Source organism: Homo sapiens, chromosome 7 (genome assembly GCF_000001405.40).
Source record: "Homo sapiens chromosome 7, GRCh38.p14 Primary Assembly".
Lineage (NCBI taxonomy): Eukaryota > Metazoa > Chordata > Mammalia > Primates > Hominidae > Homo > Homo sapiens.
The window spans coordinates 77,125,937-77,140,998 of record NC_000007.14 but is presented as its reverse complement, the minus strand read 5'-3'; the positions used below and the strand labels follow the sequence as shown (position 1 = coordinate 77,140,998).

Here is a 15,062-nt window from a genome sequence, read left to right as displayed (position 1 = left end):
GCAAGTGTATAGTTATGTAACAAACCTGCACATTCTGCACATGTATCCCAGAACTGAAAGTATAAAAAAAAATAAAGGCTAATGGAATTTTGACTGGGATGGTGATGAATCAATATATCAATATATATCAATCAATATATCAATGTGATATCGATATATCAATATTGATATCAATATATCAACGTGTCTACTAAAAATAATGTGAGATTTGACATCTTGTATTGAATTAGATTTTCCTTAAATATGGTATTTTCCCCTACTTATTTAACTCTGCTTTAATTTCTCTCAGTAATGTTTTATACTTTTCAGAGGACGGGTGCTATTGACTGAATGCGTCCTTCAAAAGTTCATAATCCCCAATGTGATGATATTTCCAGATGGGGCCTGTGGGAGGTAATTAGGTCATGAGTATGGAGCCTCACGATGGGATTAGTGGCCTTAAAAGAAGTTACAGAAGACAGTTTCCTTCCTCTCTAACTCCACCATGTGAGGAACAACAAGGAGACTGTTGTCTGCAAACCAGCAAGAAAGCCTCATCAGAACTGACCATGCCAGCATGATCAGTATCACCAGCAATACTGTGATCTCAGAATGCCCAGCTTCCAGAACTGTAAGAAATAAATTTCTGTTACTTAAGTCACCTGGTCTATAGTACTTTCGTTATAGCTACTTGAACTAAGACAACAGAACCTGAATATATTTGTTGTTTATCTCTAATTATTACATATTCTGTACATTATTGTAAGTGACTTTAAGATTTCAGTTTCCAAATGCTATTATTAGTTCTTAGAAATACAACTGATTGGCCGGGAACGGTGGCTCATGCCTTTAATCCCAGCACTTTGGGAGGCCGAGGCAGGCGGATCATCTGAGGTCAGGAGTTCCAGACCAGCCTGGCCAACATGGTGAAACCTCGTCTCTGCTAAAAATACAAAAATTAGCTGGGTGTGATGGTGCACGCCTGTAATCCCAGCTACTGGGGAGGCTGAGGCAGGAGAATGGCTTGAACCCAGGAGGCGGAGGTTGCAGTGAGCTGAGATTGTGCCACTTGCAGCCTGGGTGACAAGCAAGACTCTGTCTCAAAAAAAAAAAAGAAAAAGAAATAAAGAAAGAAAGGAAGGAAGGAAGGAAGGAAGGGGAGAGAATTGATTTTTGTTTTTGACCTTGTATCCTATAACTTTGTAAAATTTCATTTTAGTTCTAGTAGCTTTTTAATAGATTTCTTACAATTTTCTACTTAATCATGTTGTCTGTGAATAAAGACAATTTTACTTCTTTTCTAAAGTGAATTTTTTAAGACTTATTTTTTGGGAGGTGGGGGTAGTTTTAGATTCATAGCAACATTGAGAGAAATGTACAGAGATTTCCAGCATACTCCTTGTTCCCATATGTGCATAACTTCCCCTATCATCAACATCCTCCACCAGAGTGGCACATTTGTTACAACTGATGAAACTACATTGACACATCATAATCACCTAGAGTCCATCGTTTACGTTAGAGTTCACTCTTAGCGTTGTACATTCTAGGTATCTGAACAAATGTATAATGACAGGTATCCATCGTTATAGTATCATACAGAACATTTTCACTGCCCTAAAAATCCTTTGTGCTCTGCCTATGCATCTCTCTCCACCCACTCCAAACTCCCTAGTGATCACTATCTTTTTTTAACTGTCTCCACAGTTTTGCCTTTTCCAGAATGTCATATAGCTGAAGTCATGCAGTATGTAGACTTTTCAGATGGGTTTCTTTCACTTAGTAATATGCACTTAAGTTTCCTCCATGTCTTTTTATGGCTTGACAGCTCATTTCTTTTTATTGCTGAATAATATTCCATCATCTGGATGTGTCAAAGTTTATTTATTCATTCATTTACTGAAGGACATCTGGGTTGCTTCCTAGTTTTGGCAATCATAAATAAAACTGCTTAAACATCTATGTGCAGATTTTTATATGGACATAAGTTTTCACCTCCTTTGGGTAAATATTAAGGAGCATGATTGCTGGATATATGTTAAGAGTATATTTAGTTTTGTAAGACGCTGCCTATCTTCCAAAGTGACTATAGCATTTTGCACTTTCACAGCAATACATGAGAGTTCCTGTTGCACCACATTCTTGTCAGCTTTTAGTGTTGTCAGTATTCTGGAGTTTGACCATTCTAATAGGTGTGTGATAGTATCTTACTATTGTTTTAACTTGCATTTGCCTGCAATGTGAAGCATGTATTCATGTGCTTATTTGCCATTTGTATATCTTCTTTGGTGAGATTTTTGTTAAGGTCTTTGGCCCGTTTTTAAATCTTTTTGTTGTTGTTTTTGAATTTTAAGAGTTCTTTGTATTTTTAGATAATAGTCCTTTATCGATGTGCCTTTTGCAAATATTTTCTCCCAGCCTGTGGGTTTTCTCATTTTTTTGACATTGTCTTTCGTAGTGCAGAACTTTTAAATTTCAGTGAAGTTCAGCTTATCAATGATTTCTTTAATGGATCATGCTTTTGGAGTTGTATCTAAAAAGTATTCACCAAACCCAAGGTCATCTAGGTTTTCTATGTTATCTTCTAGAAGTTTCATAGTTTTGCATTTTACATTTAGGTCAAAATCCATTTGAGTTCATTTTTGTTAAGAGTGGAAGAACTGTGTTTAGATTCATTTTTTTTTGCATGTACATGTCCAGTTCTTCCAATACCTCTTTTTTTTTTTTTTGCAACTGCCCCCTCCAGCACCATTTGTTGAAAATACTGTCTTTTACTCCATTGTATTGCCTTTATTCCTTTGTCAAAATTCAGCAGACTATATTTATGTGGGTCTATTTCTGGACCCTTTATTCTGTTCTATTAACCTATTTGTCCACTCTTTTGCCAGTACCATACTGTCTTGATTACTATAGCTTTATAGCTTCCTTCCTCTCTATCTCCACCATACGAGGAATAACAGGAAGACTGTTGTCTGCAAACCAGGAAGAAGGCCTCATCAGAACTGACCATGCCAGCATGGTCAGTATCACCAGCAATACTGTGATCTGAGAATGCCCAGCCTCAGAACTGTGAGAAATAAATTTCTGTTATTTAAGCCCCCTAGTCTATTGCACTTTTGTTACAGCTGCCTGAACTAAGACAACAGAACCTACATATATTTGAGTTATATGTAAGTATTGAAGTCGGGTAGTGTCAGTCCTCCAATTTCGTTCTTCTCCTTCAATATTGGGTTGGCTATCCTGGGTGTTTTGCCTCTTCAAATAAACTTTAGGATAAGTTTGTTGATATCCACAAATGAGTTGCTGAGATTTTGATTGGGATTGCATTGAATCTACAGATCAATTTGGGAAGAACTGCTAACATCTTGAAAATATTGTCTTTCTCTCCATGAACATGAAATATCTCTCCATTTCTTAGGTTCTTTGATTTCTTTCATCAGAATTTTGTAGTTTTCCTTATATATCTTTATTTTGTTAGATTTATACCTAAGTATTTCACTTTAAGGGGTTCTAATGGAAATGATGTTTTGTTTTTGATTTCACATTCCACTTGTCCATTGCTGCTGCGTAGGAAAGTGACTGACGTTTGCAAAATAAACTTACATCCTACAACTCTGCTATAAACACTTATTAGTCTCAGGAGTTTTTTGTTGTTGTTGATTCTTTTTCTACATGACAATCATGTTATATGAGAATAAAGCCAGTTTTATTTTTTTTCTTCCCAATCTATGTCTTTTACTTACTTTTCTTGTCTTACTGCATCAGCTATAACTTCCAGCACAGGGTTGAAAAGGAGTGGTGAGAGGGGACATCTTTGCCTTGTTCTTGATCTTAGTGGAAAAGCTTCTAGTTTCTCACCTTTAAGTATGATGTTAGCTACAGGTTTTATATAGATATTCTTTAGCAAGTTGAGGAAGCTCCTTTCTAGTCCTAGTTTACTCAGAGTTTTTGTTTTTTATCATGAATGGGCTTTGCATTTTGTCAAATAATTTTTCTGCATCTATTGATATGGTCACATGATTTTTCTTTTTTAGCCTGTTGATGTGATGGATTACATCTATTGATTTTTGAGTGTTGAACCAGCCTTGCATATTTGAAACAAATCCCATTTGGTAGTGGTATATAATTATTTTTATACATTGTTGATTCAATTTTGTTGAGGATTTTTGCACTTAGTGTTTATGGGAGACATTGGTCCATAATTTTGTTTTCTTTAAGGTCTTTGTCTAGATTTGGCATTAGAATAATGCTGGCCTCAGAGTGATTCAGAAGTATTCTTCTATCTACCAAAAGAAATTGTAGTGAATTAGTATAATTTTTTCCTTAAAGGCTTTGATAGAATTCACCAGTAAACCCATCTGAACTTTGTGCTTCCTATTTTGGAAGGTTATTATTTATTCAATTTATTTAATAGATATAGGCCTATTCAGAGAGTCTATTTCTTCTTATATGGATTTTGGCATGTTATATCTTTCAAATAATTGGTCCATTTTTTCTAAGTTATCAAATTTGTAGATACAGAGTTGTTCATAGTATTCCTTTTTAAAATATTTCTAATGTCCATGAGATCTGTAGTGATCAGTTTCATTCTGATGTCAGTAATTTGTGTCTTCTGTCTTTTTTCTTAATCAGCCTCACTAGAGGCTTATCAATTTTATTAATCTTTTCAAAGAACCAGCTTTTCATTTCATTTATTTTCTTTACTGATTCCCTGTTTTCAATTTCATTGATATCTGCTCTAATTCTTATTTATTTTCTTCAGCTTACTTTGGATTTAACTTGCTCTTCTTTTTCTAGTATTCTAAGGTGGAAACAATTCTAGATCTTTCTTCTTTTCTAAAATATGCATTCAATACTACATAATTTCTTTCTACACACTGCTTTCACTGCATTCCACAAACGTTGATACGTTGTTTTCACCTTCATTGAATTGAAAGGGTTTTAGTTGTTGTTGTTGTTTTTGAGACATGTTGTTTTAAATATGTCTTCTTGCAGCTCTATCAGTTTTGTCTCACCTAGTTTGATGCTCTTGTTAGGTGCACATGTGTTAAGGATTATTACACCTTCTTGGACAATTAACTCCTTTATCATTATGTAATGCCTTTATCACTGATAACTTTCCTTTTTGAAGTCAATTGTGTTTGAAATTAATATAGCTACTTCTGCTTTCTTTTGATTAGTGTTAACAGGGTATATTTTTCTCCACCCATTTACTTTTAATTTATATGTCTTATATTTAAAGTAGATTTCTTGTAGACATCCTATGGTTGGGTCTTGTTTTTTTCATCCACTCTGACAATCTCTGTCTTTTAATTGGTGCATTTATCGTTGCTGTTCAAAGCGATTACTGATATATAGTAAGTTCTTAATGTTGTTGACAGGCTCTTAGAAACTGAGACTTTAAGCAAGACAATGCATAACAAAACCAGTATTACTATAGGCTAACTGATATAAACAAGTTCCTATGGAAAAACACTACCAACTTTCTTTTTTCTCTTTTCTCTTCCTCTTCCTCTCTCTTTCTTTCGCTCTCTCTCTCGCTCTTTCTTTCTTTCTCTCTCTTTTTTTTTTCAGTGTCTCACTCTGTTGCTGCAGCCTGAATCTTCTGGCCTCAAACAGTCTTCCCATCTTAGCCTCCTGAATAGCTGGAACTACAGATGCACACCACCACATCTGGCTAATTTTTGTATTTTTTGTAGAGATGGGGTTTTGCCATGTTGCCCAGGCTGGTCTCAAACTCCTGGGCTTAAATGATCCACCCACGATGGCCTCCCAAAGTGCTGGGATTAAAGGTGTGAGCCACTGCACCTGGTCCAAACTTCTAAATAAAGACTCAAAACACTTCTAACATTACAAACTGAAATAAATGCGGGCTATACATATATTTAAGAAAGATTAAGAAAAACAAGATAATTATTTACTCAATTTTTGGTGAACCAGTGAGCAATGGTGGTTGTAGTTGTGATGAGTTAAATCAAGGAATAAATATTTGCAAAGGGAACATTGTAAGAAGCACCTTCTACCACTATGCAGTTCAAAAACAAACAATAACAAATATGGTGGGCTTGCTGAGTGCTTTCATACTGCATTTATTGTTGTACATTTGTATAATTATCACATACTTTATGAATTTTTATTTTGCAATAATTTGTATCTGTTTATGTCTTCATTTTCCAATCCACTTACTGTAGTTCAGGGTCTCAGCTAGCTGGAACCTATCCCAGCAGCTCAGGTACCAACCCTGGACAGGATGCCATTCCATTGCAGGACACACATACACACCCCCAACTCACACTCACTCAGACAGGGACAATTTGGACTCTCCAATTAACCTAACATGCACGTCTTTGGGATGTGGTAGGAAACCAGAGTACCCAGAGAAAACCCAGGCAGACATAGGGAGAACATGCATACCCCATAGACACACACACACACACACACACACACACACACACAGACACACACACACACACACACAGAGTGGCCTTAGCCAGAAATTTATTTTTTTCATCAATATTACTATAAAACAATGTTGAACAAAACAACATTATTTGAGGATCTGCTGTAGTTGGATTAATATCCATCATATTTGTTACTATTTTTTATTGATTGCCCTTGCTGTTCTTATTTTTATCTTCCACTCTTTTTCTGTTTTGTGGTTCTAACTGAGCATTTTATATGATTCAATTTTCTCTCCTTTTTAGCATTTGATTTATAATTATTTCTTTTAGTGGTAGCCCTAAATTTGCAGTGTTGATTTCCAACTAATCCTAGTCCACTTTCAAATGACACTACATTTGGCTCTAGCAATATATGTGTTTGAACAGCATGGGTCCACTTTTACAAGGATTTTTTTTTTCAATAAATCCAGTCAACCCTCCCTCTTGTAGAGTTCTGCATCCACAACCAAATGCAGATTGCAGGATGCAAAATCCCCCAGTAAAGAGCGCCAACTTTTCTCTTATGCAGGGTATGCAGAGGGACTTGAGTATGTGTGGATTTTGGTATCCACAGGGGTCTTAGAATGAATGCTCCACAGATACCAAGGGACGATTGTGTACTGCTTCACCTTATAATAACAAAATAATCATAATTACTCCTTCCTGCCAATTATATCATTGCTGTCATTAATTTTACTCATATAGAAGCATATATGTGTGTGTGAGTGTGTGTGTGTGTGTGTGTGTGTGTACCTAAGCATATGTAATTGATTTTTCAGTCTGTTCAGCTTTTTATTTGTTAGGATGGAGTAGCACCAAGTGCCTTACATGAAGAACCCCAAACCAGAAGCTATTTTATTGTCCAATTGCATTGTATGGGACCTCCAGTACGATGCTGAATAAAAGTGGTAAAAAAAAAAAAAAAAAGGTGTTCCAGGCTGGGCGTGGTGGCTCACACCTGTAATCCCAGAACTTTGGGAGGCCGAGGCAAGTGGATCACCTGAGTTCGAGACCAGCCTGGCCAACATGGTGAAACCACGTCTCTACTAAAAATACAAATATTAGCTAGGTGTGGTGGTGCTCACCTGTAGTCCCAGCTACTAAGTGGGGATGAGGCAGGAGAATTGCTTGAACCCAGGAGGCAGAGGTTGCAGTGAGCCAAGATCACACCACTGCACCCCAGCCTGGGCAACAAAGTGAGACTCCGTCTCAAAACAACAACAACAACAACAAAAGTTGTTCCAAATCTTAAAGGGAAAGCATTCAGTCTTTCATTATTAAAGTGTAGCACTAAGTGTAAATTTTTCACAGATGCCTGTTGTTGGAGGAGGTTCTCTTCTCTTTCAAGTTAGTGGAGAGTTTTTATCAGGAATCGCACTGAGTTTTGCCAAAAAAAATTTTTTTTTTTTGAGATGGAGTCTTGCTCTGTCACTCAGGCTGGAGTGCAGTGGCGTGATCTCGGTTCACCGCAACCTCTGCCTCCTGGGGTGAAGCAATTCTCCTGCCTCAGCCTCCCGAGTAGCAGGGATTGCAGGCGTGTACCACCATGCCCGGCTAATTTTATATTTTTAGTAGAGATGGGGTTTCACCATGTTAGCCAGACTGGTCTTGAACTCCTGACCTCAGGTGATCGACCCACCTTGGGCTCCCAAAGTGCTGGGATTACAGGCATAAGCCACCGTGCCCGGCCTACCAAACACTTTTTAAAAAAATCTATTGAGATAAGAAAAAAAATCTATAGAGACAATCACATTTTCCCTTTTTTTAGTTTGTGAGTGGTGAATTACACTGCTTAATTTTATTTGTTTATTTATTTATTTATTTGTTTATTTACTTATTTTTTAAGACAGAGACTCACTTTGTCACCCAGGTTGGAGTGTGATGGTACAATCATAGCTCACTGCAGCCTTGACATCCTGGACTCAACTGATTCTCCTGCCTCATTGTCCTGGGTAGTTGGGACTACAGGTGTGTGCCACCATGACTGGCTGATTTTTTTCTTTCTTTCTTTTTTTTTTTTTTTTTTGTAGAGATCGAGACTCACTATGTTGCCCAGGCTGATCTTGAACTCCTGGATTCAAGTGATCCTCCCATCTCGGCTTCCCAAATTGCTGGGATTATAGGCATAAGCCACCACACCTGGTCCACTGCTTGATTTTTAGTCATAAAATTAATCTTGCATTCGAGAGATAAACCCCACTTGGTCATGATGCATTATCCTTTTCCCATATTATTGATTTTGATTTGCTCATGTAATGTTAAGGATTTTGCTTTTGTGTTCATGAGGGATTGTTTTCTAGTTCTTTTTTGGCAATATTTTTGTCTAATTTTTTTATCAAGACAATACTGTCCTCATAAAGTGAGTTGGGAAGAGTTCTCTCCTTTCTAATTTTTGAGACAGTTTATGTAAAACTGCTATTATTATTTCTCTGAAAATGTCTGGTAGAATTCACCTGTAAGGTCATCTGCTTCACAGATGGTGTTTTCTTTTTATGCATGATTTTTTGAAATTCACTTTTAAATTTACATAGAGTAAAAATTACTCTTTTTGTTTACAGTTCTATGCATTCTATCAAATGCTTGTACGCAAGTTACCATGACTACAATCAAGATGCAGAACAGTTCTTTCCCTTCCCTTGGCCCAAAGTAAATTCTTTCATGCAGTACCCCTTTGTAGTCAAACTTTATCTCCACATGTAACTCCTGGCAACAAGTGATCTGCTCCCTATCGTTTTTATTTAGCCTTTTCCAGAATATCATATAAGTGGAATCACAGAGTATGTAATCTTTCGAGTATAGCTTCTTTCACTTTGTAAAATGTTCTTGAGTTTTTTGTTTTTTGTTTATGTTTTTGTTTTCTTTTAGACGGAGTCTCACTCTGTTGCCCAGGCTTAAGTGCAGTGGCACGATCTTGGTTCACTGCAACCTCTACCTCCCAGGTTCAAGGGATCCTCCTGCCTCAGCCATTCAAATAGCTGGGACTACAGGCACCCACCACCATGCCTGGGTAATCTTTGTATTTTTAGTAGAGACGTGGTTTCGCCACGTTGGCCAAGCTGGTCTCAAAATTCTGACCTCAAGTAATCAGCCCACCTCGGCCTCCCAAAGTGCTGAGATTACAGGTGTGAGCCACTGCACCCGGCCTGTTCTTGAGATTTTTATCTATTTTGTTGTGTGTACCAATTGTCACTTTTTATTACTGAGCAGCATTCCATTATGTGGATGTACTACAGTTTGCTTTTCCACTCACATTTGAGAGACCTTTGGGTTGTTTCAAGGTTTTTGGCGATTGTAAATAGTCTTTGATAATTTGGGGGTGGTAACTTTTCCTTTGAAAATTTTGGCCAGATTTTCCTGTTTCTGATATGTTGAGTAATTTGGGATTTTAAGATGGACAATTTGACTATTATGCTGTTCATGCCTGTAATCCCAGCCTTGGGAAGCCAAGGTGGGAGAATCACTTGAGGTCAGGAGTTTGAGACCAGCCTGGCCGACATGGTGAAACCCCGTCTTTATAAAAATTGGCCAGGTGTGGTGGCATGCGCCAGTATTCCCAGCTACTTGGGAACCTGAGGCGGGAGAATCGCTTGAACCTGGGAGGCAGAGGTTGCAGTGAGCCGAGATTGCGCCATTGCACTCCAGCCTGGATGACAGAGTGAGACTCCGTTTAAAAAAAAAAAAAGGGCCGGGCGCGGTGGCTCACGCCTGTAATCCCAGCACTTTGGGAGGCCCAGACGGGCGGATCACGAGGTCAGGAGATCGAGACCATCCTGGCTAACACGGTGAAACCCCGTCTCTACTAAAAATACAAAAATTAGCCGGGCATGGTGGCGCGCGCCTGTAGTCCCAGCTACACGGGAGGCTGAGGCAGGAGAATGGCGTGAACCTGGGAGGCGGAGCTTGCAGTGAGTCGAGATCGCGCCACTGCACTCCAGCCTGGGCGACAGAGCGAAACTCCGTCTCAAAAAAAAAAAAAAAAAAAGAAAGAAAGGATATTATGCTGGCTATGAAGCTCTGGGTCCTGTTAAAATCTTCTAAAGATACTGATTTTTGTTTGTTTTAGTAAGTAATCAATCTGGTTAGGCTCAGATCACAAGTTCTGTCATGCCTTCAGGGACAGTAATTCCAATATTTAGTTTTCAAAGCCTTTGCTATGCTCTTTGGGTCTGTACATTACATGCAACGCTTGCGAGTTGTTCTGAGACCTTTGTGGTATTTTTATCATAGTTCATTTCTCAAAGCCTTAACTATGCTTTCTTGAGTAGTCCTCCCCTTATCTGCATGGGATGCGTTTATAAGACCTCCAGTGGATGCCTCAAACTGTGGATAGTACCCTATATATCCTATACAGGCACTGTGGCTATAACTTTTGCAGTTTGAGATGTGACAGCAAAACTAGTACAAAATTGTCTTCTCCACAATTTCACAAATAGAAGATTTGTTCTTATCATAGATTTTAGCAACCTCAGCATATGATTTTTTTATTTCCTTATTAAGTCAAAAACTTTCACCTTTTCACTTAAAGGAAGCACTTTATGGCTCCTCTTTGGTATATCCAAGTAGTCAGCATCACTACTCTTGTACTTTGGGGCCCTTATGAAGTAAAATAGGGTTAGTTGAATGCAAGCACTGAGATACATCAACAGTTGATCTGATAACTGAGATGCCTATGAAATGACTAGTGGGCAGGTGTCTGATTTAACAGTGACTTCAAAGCAGATATTATAAATATGTTTGAAGAATGAAAGGAAACCATATTTAAAGAATTAAAGAAGAGTATGATGTAATTCATCAGAGAATATCAATAAGTAGAAATTTTTAGGAAACCAAATTGAAATTCCTAAGTAGAAAATTATAATAATTGAAAAATTCGCTGGGGGGGTTCAATGGTAGATTTGAACAAGGAGAAAATCAGTGAACTTGAAGACAGATCAGTAGAGATTACAGTAGTATCTCCTTATTCATGGGGGATATGTTCCAAGATCCCCAGTGGATGACTGAAACCAGGATTGGTACCAAACTCTATATACACTATGAATTAATTTATTTTTCATTCTTCACAATTTCACAGGCAGAAGATTCATTCTAACCTTAGATCTTAGCAATCTCAGCATATAGTTTTTTTCTTTCCTTATTAAATTGAGAATGTTTCACTTTTTCACTCACAGGAAATACTTTATGGCTTCTCTTTGGTATGTCCTAATTGCTGGCATTACTACTCTTGTGCTTTGGAGCCATTATTAAGTAAAATAAGGGTTACTTGAATACGAGCACTGAGATATCACAACAGCAAATCTGATAACCAAAACAGCTAAGCTACTGAGTGACAATTGGGTGGGTAGGGTAGACAGTGTGGATATGCTGCACAAAGGATGGAGTGAGACAGTGCAAGATTTCATCATGTTCTCAGAACTGTGTGCAATTTAAAATTTACAAGTTATTTCCAGAATTTTCCATTTAATATTTTCAGACTGCAGTTCATCATGGGAAACTGAAACCTCAGAAAGCAAAGCCAAAGATAAGAGGGGCCTACTGTACTCCATGTTTGTGCAGGAGTAGGGCTGACCCTGTTACTTACGTAGTTTCAAACATAGAATTAGGATCACCTTCTCTAGTTCTCTTCTACATGGGATTTCGGCTACACTTTACAGTTTTTGTGGGCCCCTTTTGTTATGGCCAAAAGGATCAGGCTGTCTTAAAGATTTTGCCTTATGCTGCCATTCACTTCTAAGTACTTGGGGCTGCCCTCGAGGTAAAATATCAAGAAAAAGAGAGAAAGAGTATCGGGATTCCCCCACACACTCTCTTTCCAGTTCCTCTATTCAGAGAGACAGTGTTCTCTTTTATTCTTAGGAAACCTCACAGCCTGGCAGTGGCAGTGCAAATCTATGTTTGGAGCTGGCTTTGTGGCAGGGCCAGCAGACCAAAACGGAAAGAAAAAAATCGGGATTTCCCTACAATTTCTGTGTGGCAGGAGCCCCTTTTCTTCTACACAGTTCTCAATTCAGCCTGCTTTTAAGTGAAAGCCAGAAGATAAAGGAGGAAAAAAGAAACAAGGAAACTGAAACTTATTGGTATGTCTTATTTCTTAAACTGGGTGTTAGGCATAAAGATGTTCTTTTTACTATTATTCTTTAGACTTTATTCATACTTTATTCTTTTGTATGAATGAATTACTTTGCACAGAAGGAAATGAAGCAAAAATAAAAGGAAATAAAAATCGAAAACCTGGCCCATGACCATGGAAATTGGTCGAGTTCTGACTGAAGCAAATCCAAAATTGTTCTACAGGGAACAAGAAAAATTTTATTGTAATCTAGAATGTAAAGGATTTTCAGAAAAGAGAACTCCCGCTGAAGATGAGCTATAAATAAAAATTTATAAGCCATGACAAGAAATAAACCACCATGAAACAGAGTTTGTTTATGTAGCAAAAGAGAAACAGCAACCTCATAACAGAACAGACTAGAATAATTTTGCATCAGTATGTTTAAAATAATTAAAAAGGCAAGAGAAGGTAAAGAAACCACAGTAAAATAAACGGAGCAGTTTAAAATAAGAGAAAATAGATTTTTTAAAGAACCAAATAAATATTCTAGAAATGATAATATAGTCATTGGGATGAAAAATTCAATGCAGATATTAAACAATGGATTAGCAAAGATTGGGAAGGAATTAATGAATTAGAACATAGATTTGAGGAAATCATCCAGAATGAAATACGAAAAGATGAAGAGGCATAAATCATATAAACACAGTTAAGGGATATGGATGACAGAATGAGAAATTAAAATACATGTCTAAATGAGAGCTCCAAAAGTAAAGAATAGAAAGAGCAAGGAAACGCTGAAGGTTTATAAATTGGAGACTTTAGACAAAGAAAGCGTATTGACTTCTGAGCAGGACAAATAAAACTAAACCATATTAACAATATTCTAACAATCTTCCATAAAATAAAAGAGGCAACATTTGCCCTTCTAATTTTACCCTAATATCAAAACCAGAAAAAGACATGAAAGAATACTTTGGACCAATATCCTTCATGAAAATAAAATGTAAAAATCCTCACAAATTTAGCAAGTTGAATCTAGCAATTTATAGAAAAGATAATGATGGCAGTGGCTGGTGCCATCACGCTGGCTGCAGTAGGGAGGAAAGGCTGAGACTGCAGACCCAGGCCTCCCACTCCATGGGGCAGTCAGGAGCCCCACCCTCCTGGACGGTGCTACAGCCGCCCAAACTGCAGCTGTAGATCTGAGCCTCCCTGCGCTCTTGAAGTGGGGCTGGGAACAGGCAGGATCTGCCCTCTTGGGTGCAGCTGCAGCCGCCTGACCAGCAGCTGCTGACCTGGGCCTCCCACAACATGGAGCAGGCAGGAGCTGGGGAATCCCGCCCCTGCTGAGTTGGCCTGCGGGAGCTCCCTGGGTGCAGCTGCCACTGCCCTCTCACCCACGGGACCCAGGCATCTCTGCAGCCTGTACCCTCTGGTGCCCCGGAAGGCCCCCCATCCCTGCAGGCTTGGGGTGTCTGCTCCCGCTGCCTGACCTCTCTCCTCTCCTGGAGCTGGCTCAGATCTTGGAGTGGGGTTGGGGTTGAGCCCTGGGGCCATGAATGGCAGCGGGAGGCAGACAGATTCTTGGGTGGAAGGGGGCAGGTCCCCAGTAAGGCTCTACCTTCAGTCCAGGGAGGGCCTGAAGGCTGGGGGCCAACTGCTGGTCCTGCATACCAGTTTGGGGACTCATGGGGCCTCTTCCAGCAGCCCATGGCTGCCCATGGACCAATCAGCATGCACTTCCTCCCCTCTGAGGTCCATAAAAGCCCTGGGCTCAGCCAGAGCAGGGCAGACGATGGCCAAAGGACGAAGAGGATAGACAGACTACACAAGGACCAGCTGCAGAAAGGAGCTACCGTCTCTGCCGAGAGCTTCAGAGACAACCTGCCAGCAGACAGGAGGCACCCTCTCCAGGGCCTCCTCTCCACTGAGAGCTGCAGACATTGGGACAACCAGTAGTAGAGAGGAGCTACCCTCTCCAGGGCCACCTCTCTAATGAGAACTGAATGCTGGACAGATGATCTTCCTACAGAGAGGAGCTACCCACTGTGGGTCTCCTCTGAGCTCTTGTAACACTTAATAAAGCTCATCTTCGTCTCGTTCACCCTTCACTTGTCTGCGTACCTCATTCTTCCTGGATGCAGGACAAGAATTCGGGCAAAGGTGCTGTGGCCACAGAGGTTTCTGGCCAGGAAATTGACAACCCAAAACTCCCTGACAATAACATGATGAAATGTAGCTTATTGAGGGAATGAAACACTTGAAAATCAATCACTGTAATACACATATCAATAAATCAGAAGAAAAACAATATGATCATCTTCATAGATACAGAAAAAGCATTTGACAAAATGCAACATTCACTTATGATAAAAAGTCTAAGCAAATTAGAAAGTAAACTTCCTTAACTTGCTAAAGGGCATCTTTAAAAATCTACTGCTAACTTCCTAATTGTTGTTGAAATTTCCCTCATAAATAGGAAATAAATCAAGGATTTTTGCTTTTGCCACTCCAACTCAATATTGTAGTGGCGGTCTTAGCCAGTGCAATAACACTAGGAAAGAAAAGCCATACAGATGAGAAAGGAAGAA

The 15,062-nt window shown here is 38.9% G+C and overlaps 1 protein-coding gene and 1 long non-coding RNA gene across 4 annotated transcripts in view, besides 1 other annotated feature; one reads left to right on the top strand and one right to left on the bottom strand.

Moving 5' to 3' along the window:
• The window catches only part of LOC124901678 (uncharacterized), a 40,041-nt gene extending 25,548 nt beyond the window's left edge, over window positions 1-14,493 (top strand). Inside the window, exons 2-3 of the long non-coding RNA XR_007060391.1 lie at window positions 12,273-12,493; window positions 14,227-14,493. This is a non-coding gene — a long non-coding RNA (uncharacterized LOC124901678). The remainder of the gene's footprint in view (window positions 1-12,272; window positions 12,494-14,226) is intronic.
• Window positions 1-15,062, bottom strand: part of CCDC146 (coiled-coil domain containing 146) — a 172,590-nt gene that overhangs the window by 154,206 nt on the left and 3,322 nt on the right. The gene's annotated exons all lie outside the window — the stretch shown is intronic.
• Window positions 12,189-12,308: an enhancer, noted in NCBI's record as "active region_26203". NCBI's record gives its function as "activates an Ori minimal core promoter by ATAC-STARR-seq in GM12878 lymphoblastoid cells {active_cell/tissue: GM12878}" and the evidence as "EXISTENCE:reporter gene assay evidence [ECO:0000049][PMID:35858748]".